The sequence below is a fragment of the Homo sapiens genome, chromosome 9 (assembly GCF_000001405.40).
Source record: "Homo sapiens chromosome 9, GRCh38.p14 Primary Assembly".
NCBI lineage: Eukaryota > Metazoa > Chordata > Mammalia > Primates > Hominidae > Homo > Homo sapiens.
The window spans coordinates 27,462,006-27,479,725 of record NC_000009.12 but is presented as its reverse complement, the minus strand read 5'-3'; the positions used below and the strand labels follow the sequence as shown (position 1 = coordinate 27,479,725).

At 41.9% G+C, this 17,720-nt stretch overlaps 1 protein-coding gene across 6 annotated transcripts in view, besides 1 other annotated feature; it reads left to right on the top strand.

Moving 5' to 3' along the window:
• The window catches only part of MOB3B (MOB kinase activator 3B), a 204,606-nt gene that overhangs the window by 50,089 nt on the left and 136,797 nt on the right, over positions 1-17,720 (top strand). The window contains exons 1-2 of one of the 6 annotated variants that reach the window (XM_047423894.1): positions 1,413-7,856; positions 8,394-8,581. The exons of 3 other annotated variants lie outside the window; for them this stretch is intronic. The gene's annotated coding sequence lies outside the window, so the exon portion shown is untranslated. Of the gene's footprint in view, positions 1-1,412; positions 8,582-13,916; positions 15,013-17,720 lie in introns of those variants that run through there. 2 more of the 6 variants (XM_047423891.1, XM_047423893.1) reach the window with 2 other exon arrangements.
• Positions 13,976-14,477: an enhancer, noted in NCBI's record as "H3K4me1 hESC enhancer chr9:27465247-27465748 (GRCh37/hg19 assembly coordinates)". NCBI's record gives its function as "activates a minimal SCP1, AML or CMV promoter by ChIP-STARR-seq in primed H9 embryonic stem cells {active_cell/tissue: H9 hESC(primed)}" and the evidence as "EXISTENCE:reporter gene assay evidence [ECO:0000049][PMID:30033119]".

Sequence of the window (17,720 nt, the reverse complement as noted above, 5' to 3'; positions counted from 1 at the left end):
AGTTAATCACTCTTTCATATTATTGCTATCTGATGTTTTAGTTTCAAGTTGTTTATAATGCCTTTCCCTATTAATCTTAAAAATTTTTTTTGAGTAGGGGTGTTTATAAATATACTAACATGTTTGTCTTCTTTGCTTATCATTGCTTATTTATCTTTTTCTTAGTTTCCTTCATATCGAAGTTATTATTCTTTAATATTTCTTTCAGCAAGGGTCTATGAATTGGATAGTCTCTCTTTTTTGGTATGAATATGTTTTTATTTCACCCTCTGTTTGAATATGTCTCCTAAAATTCATGTGCTAGAAACTTAATCCTCAATGCATCAGTGTTGAGAGGTGGGAAGTTTAAGAGGTGATTAGGTCCTGAAGGTTCTGCCCTCATGAATGGATTAATGCCATTATCATGGGAGTAAGTTCATTGTAGTAGGAGTGGGTTTGTTATTAAAGGAAGGGGTTTCTTATAAAGGATGAGTTTAGCCTCCTTCCCTCTCTCTCTCTTGCCCATATGATGCCTTCTGCCATGATGTGACAGTAGTTGCTGGTGCCTTGCTCTTGGACTTCCCAGCCTCCAGACCTGTGAGGAAATAAATTTCTGTTCTGTGTAAATTAGTCTGTGTTATTCTGTTATAGCAGCGTAAAACAGGTTAAAATACCCCCATTTTTGAGCAGCAACTTAATTAGGTATAGAATATTAGTTTGACAGGTTTTTTTATTACCACTTTGAATGTCATTTCATTATCATCTGGCCTCTGTATTATTGATGAAAAGTCCACCACCAATCTAATTGCCATTATTAAGTTTGTAATTTATCTTTTTCTCTCTGGTTGCTTGTATGACTTTCTCTTTGGTGCTAGTGTTCTGCCATTTACCGCTGTGTGTGTGTGTGTGTGTGTGTGTGTGTGTGTGTGTGTGTGTCTTTTTAATCCTGCTTGGGACTTGTAATTTTCTAAATCAAGAACATATGTATTGCTTTAATGCTATTAAATTCTCAGCTTTTATCATTTCAGTATTGCCACTCTCACATAACCTACTCCTTCTCCAGAACTTCAATTAAATGTGTTTTATTTCCCCAATTTACTCTCTGTGTTTATAACCTCTCTTTCACATTTTTTGATCCCTTTTTTCTTTCTCTGCTCCATTCAGAACACTTCTTTAGACCCATCTTTCATGATGGTAATTCTCTTTTCAGCTGTATCTAATATGCAATTTAACATGTTTTTCTCATCTTTAAGAATTCAAATTAGTTCTTTTTTTCAAAGTTGCCCTTTGTTCATAAAGGATGGTTCTTTTATTATGGTTTTTATTCCTTCTTTTATGTTAAAAAAAACTTTTAAACGTAATTAGCTTATAGATCCTGTCAGATTATTCTCTTACTGTAAGTTCTTAGAGGTGCTAATTCTTCTGCTCATTGTGTACGTGGCTTCTCCTTCTGACTGGCTTCATTCTTTGTGGGTTTATTCAGCAGGAATTGTTTATTCTGAGGGAGTCTTGTAGGTCCTGAGTTATGAAAATATTTCTACAGAACAATTTGAGTTTGCTTCTTCCCTGGTTCTGGGAACATTTTTATAGTGATCTATTAGTTCAAGATACTTACACAGCCTAAACAATGTAAATTTGTGCAACACACTTGTGCATGACATAGGCTTGGTGTTCTATTTAGTTTTTTTAATCGGATGCATTTTTTTTCACCCTGATACTGGAGCACAATTCAGACTTACTTCCCCCTTCCCTGAGCTACTTGGAGCAGTGGTAGTTCTTCTAGTCCTGTTTTTATGTAAATGGATATTTTGAAGAATTCTGACTTGATGCAGTTATGTCAGTTCCAGCATCTTACCTTGCATGAGCCTTGGGCCATGTCACCTGTTCTCAAATGGGCATCCCAGCCCTAAACCCCTAAGCAGCTGTATCCAGATTCAACACCCCTCTGGGTGATAGCAGTATTTGCTCTCATTCTTATTGGTTTAGCTTTGGATTCTGGCTTCATTTCTGGCCTGCATTAAGAAGAACAGTTATGTCTTACAGGTATATGAGGTACATTCTTGTGATGGCTGCCATGGCTTATATTTTGGAACTGAAAGAGGATCTGGGTAAATTCAGACTGACATTTTTAATGTAAATTAATTCACTCACAAACCATTTATTGGCCACCTATCATGTTCCTGACTTTGTCATAGGTGCTGGGGCACAACAATAAATAACACTGTGTCTTTGCTCCTGTATAGTTTACATTCTCATGGGAAAGACAAAACAAACAATAAGTAAAACATATAGTAAAATCAGCTGGAGCGATGAAGAAAATTAAAGCAGGAGAATGGGAGAGAGAGGGACTGGTTTGGGTCATGTGCTTTATTAGGGTGGCAAAGGAAACCTCTCTGAGGAGTGACCTTTGAGCACAGGCTTACATGCAGTAATGAAGAATCATGCTGGTATCTGGGGTGTGAGTCCGTTTTCTCCAAGAAGCATTACGCCAAGGCAGGATTGGCTATGCAAGAGATTTATTAAGGCAACTCCTGTGAGCAAGAGTGAGGTCAAGGAAACAATGAAAATGTGGGGCTCCTTGTTCAAAATAACATTAAGAATTCCAAGATGGCTGCAGAGGAGTATTCAACCAAGCACAGAGCCCTTTTGAATGCCCTGTCTGACTATGAGGGAAAGTAGGAGTGAGCTGCTGGGAGCTCGGGAGACTCCTCTGATTGTGATGCAGGTCTGACCCCAGGTGAAGAAGACGGGAGGGAGGAGGGTGAGCGGAAGCATCCTACAGGGCTGTGCTGTTTCAAGAGAGCCTGGATCTCTTGGAGGAGTCTTTGAGTCCAAGCCACCTCTTAGGTAAGTTTTCATCTCCCAGGAATAGGTTTGCATCACTATGCCTGCCATGCTCAGTCACTATCTAGGAGTAGCCTGTGAGAAATGTGGCTTCAGCACAAATGCAGAGATGGATTTCAGAGCACAGCAGCTGTAACTCCTAGCCAGTAATACTCCTTGTAAGTTGGATGTCTACAAGGCATAGTCTCATGGCAGCCACACTGGGTAAAGAGCTTTTCAGGAAGAGGGGACAGTGATTGCAAAGGCAGTTGTTTTGGGGTTGAATTATGTTCCCCATCCCAAATTCATATGTAGAATTCCTAACCTGCAATACCTTTTAACATGACCTTATTTGAAAACAGGGTTATTGCAGAAAATAATCAGTTAACATGAGGTCATACTGGAGTCGGGTGGGCCTCTAATCTAAAATGACTGCTATCCTCATAAAAAGGGAAAATTTGGAGATAGACATACACACAGGAAGGATAACTTGTGAAGATGAAGGTAGAGATTGAGGTGCTGAGTCTACAAGCCAAGGAACACTGAAGATACCAAAAAACCCCACCAGAAACAAAGACGGAAACATGAAACAGATTTCTCCCTAGTGCCTTCAGAGAAAGCATTGCCCAGCCAACACCTTGATTTCAGATTTCTTGTCTCCAAAACTGAGACAGTACATTTCTATTCTTTAAGCCACCTAGTTTTGAGTACTTTGTTATGGCAGGCCTAGCAAACTAATACAGCCTTGAAGTGATAGAAGACTTGGCATGTTGTAGAAACATCAGGGAGGCCACTGTGGATAGAGCAGATAAGTAAGGGAGAGAATCGTAGGGGAAGGAGAGGTATCCAGGGGCCAGATCTGTAGATCATGACTTTGTAAACCAATATAGCAACATTTGTTTTTATTCTGAGTGTGATGGGAAGCCATTGTAGGGCTTGAAGAGGGCAGTGGCCTGATTTCACTTATATCTTTAAAGTACCACTCTGGCTCCTGTCTGGAAATAATAGTTTGCCGAGGAGCAGAAGTGGAGGCAGTGCAACCAGCCCAGTCAATGGCAGCTGTAAAGAGAGAGAATCTGGTGGTGTGGACAAGAGTAGTTGTGGTGGAGGGTGTGAGGAGTTTGGGATGTGTTGGCAATTTGAAGTAAATGATATACTTTCAAATTGATTAGACAGAGCAACTAGACTACTAGAATTGTTTTCTGAAATGAGAACACTGGGTGAGGAGCTTATCTGGAGTTTACAGGAATGGATGTCGATATCTGCCATTTTTTAAAAGTCACATGTTGTTTTGCAATTTGCTTTTTGATTTTCATGAACTTCTTTTCATATCAATACAGATATATTGACCTCCCTGTGTTTTGAGGGCTGCCCAATATTTCTTATGTGGATATGCCATTCTTGATTATACTAGTTATCAATGAATGGACTTTTGGTTGTTTCCTTTTGTATGTGATTATAAACAATGAGGCTTAAACAGCTGTATGATTTATCTATTGCTTCATAACAGAATCCCCTCCAATGCAGTGGTTTAAAAACAACAACGTTTATTATCTCGCAGTTTTTTTGGGTCAGCAGGCAGAGTACAGCGTAGCTGGGTTCTCCGGTTCAGGATCTCTCCCAAGGCTGAGGCTGCAGCTGTATCAAGGTTTGACTGGGAAGGAGCCGCCTCGGAGCTTACTCAGTGGTCATTGGCAGGATTCAGATCCTGGTGAACTGTTGGCCTGAGGGCCTTTGCTCCTCACTGGCTGGCTTTTAGCTGGAAGGCACCTTCAGTTCCTTGCTATGTGGGCCTCTCAGGAGGAGAGCTCACAACATGGCAGCTGGCATCATCAAAGCGAGAGCAAGAGTGTGTGAGCAAGAGAGGTCACAGTGTTTTATAAGCTAATCTCAGAAGAGTGCCCCATCCCTTTTGCTGTATTCTGTTCACTAGAAGTCAGTCTCTGGGTCCAGCCTTCACTCAATCAGAGCATTATACAAAAGCATGGATGCCAGGAGACAGAGATCACTAGGAGCCACCTTAGAAATCTGCCTGGCACCATAACCCAATACATTTGTGTTTTGATAGATTGTTAAAGGTGGGTTTGCTGAGGGAAAAAGTACGCATGTTTTAACATTTCATATATAACAGTGGATTTCTTTTCAAAATCTTCATTCTAGATTTCAAAGTTTGTTTTGATGAGACTATTTGCTACTGCCTGAGAAGGAGAGGCTATAGCTCCTCAAAGAGCCTTTCCAGATTTTGTCATGAATGTCTCTTCCCTTCTTGCCCTTCTTTTTCTCACCCCTCCAAAACTTCCAGAACAGGAAGTAGCTATGTGTCTTGCAACAGGAATGATACGAAGGTTCTAATCAGCAGGCACATGCATCATGGTGACTATTCTAGGGTATGATGACCTGGATTATGCCATTAAAAAATGTCATTGCCTTCACTTGTGTGCTGACATGGGTAAGGTTTATTCAGCCAGCCTTGATGAGAGGAATTAAAAAGTAATCTCTGGTATAAGGAGTCAGTTTGGGCCCATGATGTCTAGGGAAGTTCCACTTGAATAATTTCTTCTAAATCCTCAGAACTCATGAGCTTCTGGGAGGTCATACAGTAATGAGGTATACATTTATTTCCTTATTAGTCAGAAAGAAACTTTACTTAAAAGGACCCATTTGTGTTTACTAGATATGGTTGGAGGAAATATAAATTATTATCACTATTACTTTATCTCCTTCCCATACAAGGCTTTATAAAATTAAATGCATTGTAAACCTAGACTATAATAAAAATGAGATCGTGTAAATATCTGTGTGTCTTACAGGCTACCTGTAACAAGATACCTTAGACTGGGTGGCTTATAAACAACAGAAAATCTATTTCTCATAGTTCTGGAAGCTGGAAATCCAATATCAGGGTACCAGCATGATTGGGTTCTGGTGTGGGCCCTCTTGAGGGTAGAAAGCTTTCTGGGGTCCCTTTTATAATGGCTAATCTCATTCATTAGGGTAGAGCCCTCATAACCAAACTATCTTCCAAAGGTCCCACCTTTTAATGCCATCACATTGGAGGTTAGAATTTGAACACATGTAGTCTATTGCACTGTGGCTGCTATCAGGTTAGATGCCCCATTTGAAAGATTAGACTGTCTTGGCAGCTTCCCAAATGAATGCCAAGGTGCCTTCTTTCCCCTTCTGCTTGTGAGCAAGGTGGGGTGTGTGTGGAACTGGGGAGAGTGCATGACCTCTGATGAAGCTGAGGGAATGTCTTGATGGGGTCCATCACCAACATCCCCTGTTTGGGGCTGACCTCTTGGTTGGAGAAGGTGCTAGATTCCTTCCCACACTGCCCCTTGCTTTCTATTGTCAGGTCCCTGTGTTGCCCCAGAGGCCCATGGCCCTCCTTGATGTGGATTAGTTTAGCGACTAGCTCTCAGGGCAACAGGTCCCTCTCTGCTTGTCCAGCTTGGACAGCTTCTCTTTCCTGGGCACCGTGAAGGCCAGGATCCTGCCTCCTGCCTGTGCCCTCCTGTGAGCCTGGTGCTCTAGGAGCGTGGCTCTCCAAACAGGGAGTGACTCCTCTGTGTCCCAGCACGACCCCACCCTCCCCCTTTGCCTCCCTCAGACACTGGGCAGATTGTACTCACATTTCACAAGATTACTCCGCTAGATGAGAAAAACGTGTACTTTATTCAGGACAGCGAGCTCAGCTCTCTGGATTGCATTCCTTGCAGAAATGAGAATCCAAGTGTAGTGGCCTTTCAAAGCTGAAATAAATCAGGGCTCCTTGGCCATACTACCCTTGTCTGTCAGTTTTTGTCTTTTTCTAGAAGCCATGCAAGGTTAGGGAAAATTAAGGGAGAGCAAATGAGGACCAGTTCATTGTGTAATCACTTAAAATCTCTGAGTTGGAATAGCTATCTGTGATTTAAAACATAAATGTTTGCAAATGGTTTGTATCTTGATCAGTTATGTAAAGACGTGCATTTGAGATGCACCAAAGTGACTTTTAGATGCTTCTTTTTAAAAATGACAGTCTTAACTTGTGTTTGCGGAACTCTGTATTTTTCAGTTTTCACCTACGTTAAGCCTTTCAATTTTTTTGTTGACTAAAGTTGGTAGAAGAAATGATTATCAGAGTTTTTATGGAATCCTCCACCACCTTTTTCCAAAAGGAATTAGAATCATCTGGTGCTTATATAAAATCAAACACTGTTTAAACTCAGGGAGCTCTTTTTTTTTTTTTTTTTTTTTTTTTTTAGAATAAAGTGCAGTTTAAAGAGAATAGAGTGGGAGCTTTTACCAGATACCTGTTTTGGTCTCTTGCTGGGCTGATACTATTTTCCTAGGAATGGTGACTGTGTGTTTCTGTTTTTCCTCTTCAGATTTCTTAGACCAAATAGAGGAAATCCACTGGAGGCTTACCTAACAAGACGTATTGATGAATGTAGAATCTTAAATGAAAAAGAAGTCAGTGGATGTGGCTTCCTGTACTGTCAGCTTGGACCAAAAATAAAGCGAGCCCTCGCCGCAGGGGTTTGGCTCAGCCCTGCGCCTGTGGCAGATGTTGTTTTCCATGGCTTTGCTTGAGGAGTACACTTCTCTGGGCAAAAGTTCCTGAGGCCTTTGGAGACTTTTAAAGCCTTTTTTTTTTCTGTAGCTTTTATTGTTTTTAAGAAAAGTGGTGTCACCCTTACTTGTCATTAAAAAAAAAATAGTGTGGGAAAAACAAATAAACTACCCAAAGAATAAAACAAGAAAAACCAAAACAACTCCCCTAAATGAATGAAAAAATTTACACCCTTCACTCTTTTGCAAGATAACTATTTCCATGCAAGTTGGATTAGAAACTATGAGAAGATTTTTCTCTTTGATTTTTGGTTTCTTCTATTTTTAACATTTTTGACAAGTCTACACATTGTGGTTACATAAAAACATCAGGATTAAGATATTTGGTATTTAAAAAGCACCCTTGGACTCGGGATGATTCTTTCTGGCCTACAGTGTGCCAGACCCGCTGCTAACCTCTCTTCACCTACTGTCTTAGTTGATCACCACAATCCTGCAAGGTATAACCCACTAAGAGTGTTTTAGGAGAGAGGGAACGTAGCAGCCTGTGGGATCTGCTTTTCAGGAGTTCCCTATCCAGAAGGAGGGAGACATATGTATATGAGTAAGTTCAAGAAAGCATGATGTTAGTGATAAGAATTAAAGCTAATGCATATTACAAACTTACCTTGCGCTTGCTGCTATATCAAATGCTTTATTTGGATAATGTAATTTAACTCTCATGGCAGCCCTTTGAGATGGATATTTTATCTCCATTTTACAGAAATGGAAGAAGAGGAAGCTAACGTTGAGCAATGTGATATAGTAAGCTCCAGAGCCCACACTCTAGAAATGGTAGATTTGGGAGTCAAAATCGGGCAGTCTGATCTCAGATCCATTTACTTAACGACCAGTCTATACAACACAGTGACCAAGAGCCACAAAGCGCAGGGGTGGTTCATTGAACTAGCCTCTCCACAGGTGGTGTAGACCAGTAGGGGCAGGGCCATGTTGTATATTCCCAATAATGATTCAGGTTAATTCTCCTTTCCCCCAAGGACTTTTTCTGCCATTCTTACTGCTGGAAATACAACTCTTCAGATGACCACTTTTGTCTCCTGCCTATTCGCCTCAGGAAATGACTTTTGGCCCATGGACCACTGGATATGCCAGGCCAGGCATGTCAGACTCCCTGGCTCAGGGAGCTCTTAAATCCTGGAGAGCAGCAGAGTCCACACATCCACTGGTGAGGGGTGGGATGCTAGAGTCTGCATTTTAAACTTGCACCCCAGGTGCAAGTGATCTTGGTCTTTCTGCCATTTCCGAGTGTCCCCAGGAAACCCAGAGGGAACTTACTAGTTAGTCCGTGGACAGATGGTTCAGGGTGAGAAGGGGTTGTATTTTTTCCTTCAGCAGCCACCACCTTCTACCAGAGCCGCCAGAGCTCAAAAGGGGAAAAGTGAAAGAGAAAAAAACAAACAAACAAAAGATAAAAGGCCAGGGGGAGGCAGTGCTGGGGGAAGAGTATAGAACTCAATAAGAACAAGTCAAACCCATAAATATTTGCTGAGAAAAGCAAGGGTTCCAAATGAGTGCGGCAGGGATGGCAGAAACAAAGCCAGATTAGGGAAGGGTCAGGAGAGAAGGGGAAGGGGTAGGCTGAACCTCCACCAGAGGTGGCAGCTTGTGTTTGAAGCCTGCTTTGATGGGCCCACAGGGCTAACAGATGGGTGGGTGGGCCCTGATTATAGATGGGCCAGAAGTTGGGGGTGAGCTGTGAGAATAACCAACAAATCGGACTGTTTAGATACAAAGGAAGGGCTACAGATTCAGAGCTTTGGAGCAAAGGAGAGACAAGAGTCACTTCCTAACAGCACTGTAGGGAGAAGTCGCCTGGAGGCTGGAGGATTATGGCAGGCGGAAGGCAAAAGAAAGGGCAGGGGCAGGGATTTAGCCACTGACAAGTGCAGTCAGCATTAGGGGTCTGGGGAGTTGTCCGATTGATCAAGCGAAACCTGAAAGTTCTCAGAGGTGTTTCAGTGGCTGTTGAGAGGAGTAGACACCCTGCTTCAGCTGCAGAAGAGATAAATAATTTTTATTTATTTTTATAAAATTGAGGGCCTGCATAAAACTTCATTTGGAGGAACAAAGGAGCTATGTTGCTTTAAAAGGCTTAAAAATCACCAGGAATATGAATAATATCTATATCTACATCTCTCCATAGATCTAAAAAGACAGTTAAGTTGGGGTAGTTTTCTTTTCTTTTTTTTTTTTTTCTTTTAAGAGACAGGGTCTCACTCTGTGCCCATGCTGGAATGCAGTGACATGATTATAGTTCATTGTGGCCTCGAACTCCTAGGCTCATGTGATCCTCCTCCTGCCTCAGCCTCCCAGATAGCTGGGACCATAGGTGTGTGCCACCGTGCCAGGCTAATTTTGTTTTGTTTTGTTTTGCAGAGATGGCTGGGGGAGGGGGAAGGTGTTGCTTTGTTGCCCAGGCTGGTCTCTAATTCCTGGCTTCAAGCGATCCTCCTGCCTTGGCTTCCCAAAGTGCTGAAATTCTAGGTGTCAGCTACCACGCCTGGCACGAAAAGGGAGGGGGGAAGTTTTGAAGGGCCATTAAGTGTCAGACTTGCTGAAGTATTAAACAGATCCATTGCCTAGTGGAAAGAACACAGGCACTGAGGTTGAGGCTTTGTTTTCAGCCCCAGGTCTGTCCTAACTGTGAACCTTTAAATATTCACTTCAGTTTTCTGGGCACTAGCTGTTTGTTTTTGTTTTTAATAAATTAAGAGGCTCTATTGAATTAACTGATGTTCAGAAGTTCTTCCTGCTGTACAATCCTGTCAGCCATGACCTTGCTATCAGGCCTCCCTAGCAGATGCACACGGAATGGGTAGCAGGATCAAAGTTCGAGGAAAATTAATGTCGTGGTGTTGTGTGGGATGATTGAGGGAGACAGGTTAGGGGCCAGGATGCTGTCACTGAAGGGTACAAAGGCAACAAGAGTGGATGCAACAGAGACAGAAGCTTGGGCATGGACACCAAAGTCACAGAAGTTGAGTTTTCACTAAAGGAGGTGAGATGATACATTTTTTTTCTCGTATTAGAAAAAAAATTCCCAGCCAGGCACTGTGACTCATCCCTGTAATCCCAGCATCTAGGGAGGCTGAGGCAGGAGGACTGCTTGAGCCCAGGATTTCAAGACCAGCCTGGGCAACATGGCAAGACCCCCATCTCTACAAAAAAAGAAAAATTCCCAAGTTGATTAGCTTGCTCTCTTCCCCATTATTTTTTCCTCTGAGGTATATTTTTAAAACTTATTTTTTAAACAAAGCACAAAGGTAAAGGTCTTTGCGTGGTATTGCAAAGATCTTTACAAAGTTCTACCATGACTTTTTAAACATTGTTTTAAGCCAGTGGGCATGCTTCCAAAGGAGCTGACTTTTCACTGAATGCTAGAAAATGAAAACATGGGAGCTGTTTAGATTGGCCTGGGAAACATCATGTCCAGTAGCCACTGTTGATCTTTGCATGAAGTAGTTCTGTTTTCTGAAAAGATTCCTTTTGTCCATTGTCTCATTATGATTATGGGGGCCTAGTCCTCTCAACTGGAGAAAGAACTGTTTATCTGTGCGGTATTTGATTAACAATCATTTAGATACACAGTTTAACCACAAAAAGTTACTGAGTTCCTGTTTCTGCTGGGTCCTGTGTTAGGTACCAGGGATGCAGTGAAGTCTAGGGTGTGCTCCCAACCCTCATAAACTGATGGAGGGGCCAGACATGTGAGCAAAGAAATACAGCACAGTATGTGGTCCTGGGGCATTCGCATCAGAGATGTGCATGCAAGGTGCACACGATGACCAGCCATCCCGTCCTTCTTGCTCCTTCTTTTGGTACCTTGTTCCCTCTGCTTTACCAGGAGTTGAAGTTAAGCCAGAGAGAAGTTTGAGGAAATCGAGGCTGGGCAAGGGAGAGGCCTTATCTGAGTGGATAGAAAGTTTTTCAGTTCCCTGGAGAAAGCTTCTGATAATCATGTTCCCAGACAGTAGCCACATACAGGGGCATGGGACTGTCAGGCCTAAAGCTCACTGTCAATTGTGGAGGATTCAGAAGCACTTCATAGATGATGGGGGACTCTGTTCTGAGCAGTCTGTCTCTGTGTGTCTGCCACTGAGCAGTAACTGGTACAAATGCACCCTATGACTAGGTTTTCTTTCTTAGCTGAGAAATCTCTTGAGAAGGCTATGCATTTCTGGTGTGTAGACAGACTTTCTGCAGATGAGTAAGTTATGTCTTAAACAGAGTTCTTGTTGAACTAATGTCACGAAGAGTCTCTGCTAACAAAAACAGCTAACTTTGCATAGCCAAGCCACTCTGCACAACTTAACAATGTTAGTTCTCCAATAGAGCCCTAATAAACAAGTCACACCACTCTTCCCTATGTGGCTTCAAAGAAGTTGATAGTAACAATACAACAACAAAAACAAAAATCAACTTTGTTTCTTATGGAAGCCAGACTGTTAACCAATGGGCCTGTTAACTCTAAACTCTGGATTTGCCCACCCTTTCCCATGTAGCACTGGTGAGAGCAGACCAATTCCATTCATAAAGGCAGAAAGCTGGGGAAGCAGCAGGTAGCACACTTGAAAGCAGGCACTTCGCAGGAGGAAAAAAGGTCAGGCTGAGCCAGCTGAGCATGTGCGGTTTGCCAACTAAGTGAATCCATCCCTCCACTTGCCCTGGGGCGATGTTAGTAAAAGGACATAGAGAGGATAGTAGGATGCATAGGGAAAATTCTTCCTCATCCAAACCACGAGTGGGGAAATGGTGCTTCCCTCTGAGGTGCCTCAAGATTTTACACTTTTTGAGGGTCATGTGCTTAGGTCTTGTGGGGAAGAAGTCAAAGAAAGAGCACATTATGGTTGGGACTCCTATTGATCATCACACCACCTGAAATCTGATCATAGGAGAAATCCAGATTAATAAATTTAACACTTGACATTTACCTATCTTTACTTATATTATCTCACTTATCCCCAAAACCCACTGTGATATTGGTATTAGCACCCTAACAACAAAGAAAGAAATTAAAGCACAAAGAGAAAGCATTTAGCCCACAAGGGTAACTGGTCAAGGGGCAGAGTCTGGACTCAGACCTGCATCTTTCTGGCTCTAAAGGTAGACCTCTTTTCAGTCTTTGAGGAGGATACATGGTTTGCAATTACATGTCTGACTCAATTTCATTTCAAACTTTTTTTTTAACTTGTTATTGGCATGTTTGAGAGAATAGAGTGGGTAGAATCATTAATTATTTGTCTCAATTTTATCTCAGGGTTACCTGCTTTGTGTACCTGTTTTTCATGTAGAAAAATGAGAAATCATCTAGCTAGATGGTTGTCTGTTCTCTCTTGAGAGTTTCTAGAAATGCAGACTTAATCCTTCTGGCAGGATCTCTGGATTCTGATAACAGGAATGATAACAGGAATGATATGGTTTGGCTGTGTCCCCACCCAAATCTCAACTTGAATTTTATCTCCCAAAATTCCCACATATTGTAGGACGGACCCAAGGGGAGATAATTGAATCATAAGGGCCGGTCTTTCCCGTGCTATTCTTGTGATAGTGAATAAGTCTCACGAGATCTGATGGGTTTATCAGGGGTTTCTGCTTTTGCTTCTTCCTCATTTTCTCTTGCTGCTGCCGTATAAGAAGTGCCTTCTGCCTCCCACTATGATTCTGAGGCCTCCCCAACCATGTGGAACTCTAAGTCCAATTAAACCCCTTTTTTCTTCCCAGTTTTGGGTATGTTTTTATCAGCAGCATGAAAATGGACAAATATAGTAAATTGGTACCAGTAGAGTGAGGCGTTGCTGAAAAGATACCCGAAAATGTGGAAGTGACTTTGGAACTGGGTAACAGGCAGAGGTTGGAACAATGTGAAGGGTTCAGAAGACAGGAAAATGTGGGAAAGTTTGGAACCTCCTAAAGACTTGTTGAATGGCTTTGACAAAAATGCTGATAGTGATGTGAACAATAAGGTCCAGGCTGAAGTGGTCTCAGATGGAGATGAGGAACTTGTTGGGAACTGGAGCAAAGGTGACTCTTGTTATATTTTAGCAAAGAGACTGGTGGCCCTAGAGATTTGTGGAACTTTGAACTTGAGAGAGATGATTTAGGGTAACTGGCGGAAGAAATTTCTAAGCAGCAAAGCTTTCAGAAGGTAACTTGGGTGCTGTTAAATGCATTCTGTTTTAAAAGAGAAACAGAGCGTAAAAGTTCAGAAAATTTGCAGCCTGACGATGCAGTAGAAAAGAAAAACCCATTTTTTGAGGAGAAATTCAAGTCGGCTGCATAAGGAGCAAGGAGCCTAATGTTAATCCCTAAGACCATGGGGAAAATGTCTCCAGGCCATGTCAGAGATCTTCATGGCTGCCCCACCCATCACAGGCCCAGAGGCCCAGCAGGAAAAAGTGGTTTTGTGGGCCGGTCCCAGGATCCCCGTGCTGTATGCAGCCTAGGAACTTGGTGCCCTGTGTCCCAGCCATTCCAGCTGTGGCCGAAAGGGCCAACGTAGAGCTCAGGGTGTGGCTTCAGAGGGTGGAAGCCCCAGGCCTTGGCAGTTTCCACGTGGTGTTGAGCCTGTGGGTGCACAGAAGTCAAGAATTGAGGTTTGGAAACCTCCCCCTAGATTTCAGAAGATGTGTGGACATGCCTGGATACCCAGGCAAAAGTTTGCTGCAGGGGCGGGACCCTCATGGAGAACCTCCGCTAGGGCAGTGCAGAAGGGAAATGTGGGGTTGGAGCCCCCACACAGAGTCCCTACTGGGGCACTGCTTGGTGGAGCTGTAAGAAGAGGGCCATCGTCTTCCAGACCCCAGAATGGTAGATCCACTGACAGCTTGCACTGTGCACCTGGAAAAGCCACACACACTTAATGCCAGCCCATGAAAGCAGCCAGCAGGGAGGCTGTACCCTGCAAAGCCACAGGGGTGGAGCTTCCCAAAATAATGGGAACCCACTTCTTGCAGCAGCATGACCTGGATGTCAGACCTGGAGTCAAAGGAGATCATTTTGGAGCTTTAAAATTTGACTGCCCTGCTGGATTTCGGACTTGCATGGGCCCTGTAACCCCTTTGTTTTGGCCAATTTCTCCCATTTGGAACAGCTGTATTTACCCAATACCTGTACGCACATTGTGTCTAGGAATTAACTAGCTTGCTGTTGACTTTGCAGGCTTATAGGTGGAAGGGACTTGCCTTGTCTCAGATGAGACTTTGGACTATGGACTTTTGGGTTAATGCTGAAATGAGTTAAGACTTTGGGTGACTGTTGGGAAGGCATGATTGGTTTTGAAATGTGAGGTCGTGAGATTTGGAGGGGCCAGGGGCAGAATGATATGGTTTGGCTGTGTCCCCACCCAAATCTCAACTTGAATTATATCTCCCAGAGTTCTCACATGCTATGGCAGGGACCCAGGGGGAGATAATTGAATCATGGGGGCCAGTCTTTCCCATGCTATTCTCGTGATAGTGAATAAGTCTCACGAGATCTGATGGGTTTATCAGGGGTCTCTTTTTTTGCTTCTTCCTCATTTTTCTCTTGCTGCTGCCATGTAAGAAGTGTCTTCCACCTCCCGCCATGATTCTGAGGCCTCCCCAGCCATGTGGAACTGTAAGTCCAATTAAACCTCTTTTTGTTCCCATTTTCAGGTATGTCTTTATCAGCAGCATGAAAATGAGCTAATATAAAAAATAACTTTTTAAACAGTTTAGAAAGTCATTTCTGTTATCAGAATACAGAGGTTGTAACTGGATTATAACCAGGAATGTAATGTGTTAAATGTAGAGTATTTATATGCTATTCTGAAAAGTGTTTGAGGGATTAGTGGGAGGGCATGGTGGATATAATTTGCCCAAATTCATGAAATAAGCCATATTGCATTAGATTTATTATATGCAAAAAAATACTGGAACTCCCTCAAAATATTAGGGTAAGTGTGTTATAAATGTTGGGGAATATTGTTAACTCATTATCAAATCACTGAGGTTAATATTATTTCTTTTTGCCTGAGAATTAGAAGTCCACCCAAATTAAGCAAGAATGAAGCATTTTCTTTCTTTCTTTCCTCCTATGCAGGGCTTCCATTGCCACCGTGCCCCCCACCCCTACCACCTCCTGCCTATTTCTTATTCGTAAACACACATTTGCATTGAACTGAATCATTTTCTGTTTCTCACATCATTTCTTGATATTAAGTCAAAAGTCATAGTTTCTTTTATCAGTCACTATGTCAATAACCATATAATTGTTTTCCATTTGTGAAGCACTTTCACTGGCAATATCTCTTCTAATTTTCACAGTAACCTTACAATAAAGGTAAGCACCATTAACCGTTATCCTTATTATTTTTTTCTTTTTTCTTTTTTTTGAGACAGGGTCTCATGCTGCTGCCCAGGCTGGAGCACGGTGGTGCAATCATGGCTCACTGCAGTCTGGACATCCCCAGGCTCAGGTGATCCTCCCACCTCAGCCTCCCAAGTAGCTGGGACTACAGGCGTGTCCCACTGGGCTAATTTTTGTATTTTTTGTAGAGATGAGGTTTTGCCATGTTGCCTAGGCTGGTCTCGAACTCCTGGGCTCAAGCAATCAGCCTGGCTCAGCTTCCCAAAGTGTTAGGATTACAGACGTGAGTCACTGTGCCCAGCCACCATCATCTTTAAAGAAGACAAAACTGAGATTCATAAAAAGTGTCTGTTCAAAGACATAGCCAGCTAAAGTCATTGCCAGAATTTGAATCCAGGTCTTTTGAATCTAGACCGCGAAGTTTCCAGAAATAGATCTCTTCTGGAGTGGCACATGACAATGTACATAGGGCTAGGTCTCTGTTTCTCCCATTTCCTCCCTGACCCCCTTAGGTGTACCCCAGAACTTCCTCTGTTTTGTTTTTTTTCTTTAACTACCCAACTGTCTAAAGAGGCACTTTTAAGTAGGTGGTAAGAGGTTTGGAGTCAGCTTGGCTACTTACTGGTTCTGTGATCAGGATATAGCTTCAATCTCACTGTGTCTCAGTTTCCTTAAGCGTAAATTAGGTATAATAATAATAATACCTATTCATAAGGTTGTGAAAACTAAAATAAATAGGAAGTCCTTAATAAATACCATTGTTAATATTATATAATTAGAATTTTAGGCATCCTAAGATAGATTCTAGGTGACTGGTCTCTCAAGAATCTGACTCTCTAGTAAAACTTGTATCATAATATGATTCAAATGATGAACATGATGATAGCAACAACCACTATACTATATTCAGTACTTGCTAATGCTAAGTGTTTTACGTAAACTGTTTGAATTCTTGCAGCAACCCTGCAAAAGCTGTGTGCTGTTAGCCACTGGGCTTTAGTGCCTCTTAATCTTGCCTGCTCTTGGTGTTAATTTTACCTATCCCCTGTCAAACTTAAACTTATGATCTTTTGAAAATTCAAACTGTATTTTCGAATTTCCAGTCTTCTTGCCCATTTTGTGTTCTCCACCTTCCTGCAAAGATCTTTTGCAATGGTTCCAGATGTCATACATAAGTTCTCATGGTGCTAGGGCTAGAAATTTTTCAGACTTTGAGACTCAAGTTCACTTAGTGGCTAAGAGTAAACAAGTCTGTTGTCAGTTACAGGATCCAACTTCCTTGAATTTGAACCTTTTTCCTTTAAGACTTTTCCAAGAAAGGATTGACATACGCTGTTTCAAAGAAAAAGAAAGGGTAACTGACAATGACCTTTATCCCAGTATCCACTGAAGGTTCAGAGTGATATCATATCAGCTGATATACACCCATGCTTTATAAAGTAAAAATACTTATCTCAATATCCGTTCAAGGTTCAGAGTGACATCATATCAGCTGATATACACTCATGCTTTAAAAAGTAAAAATACTTACATTTTTTACCTGCCTTAATTTTTTATTTCAGCTATAACTTAAGCTTTATCTGTAGTTCTCATCCCATCCCCCATTCTTCTACCCTCACCTGACTTAGATATTGTTTTTTTCAATTCACGTGTCTTTCTTTAAGCCACAAAAATGAATATTTTCCAGCTAGTCTAAATATCTGGAAATAATATACCAAATCTCTCACTGACTTAGAGAAGTTTCTCTTTCTTTTAAAAAAAATCAGTATAATCAGTAGGATGTCATTATAAGATTTATAATCTTTATAAGATTAAATAGGTCATCTGAGCTTTTATCCTGTAATAATTTTACTTTACTATTTATTTTTACAACTGCAGTAAGATTGGATCAACCCTGCCCAAGGTTTGACCAAAAGGTCTTCATCTTTGTCATTGTTGGGAATCTAAGCTAGTTGGTACTGGTGTCCAGAAGGAAC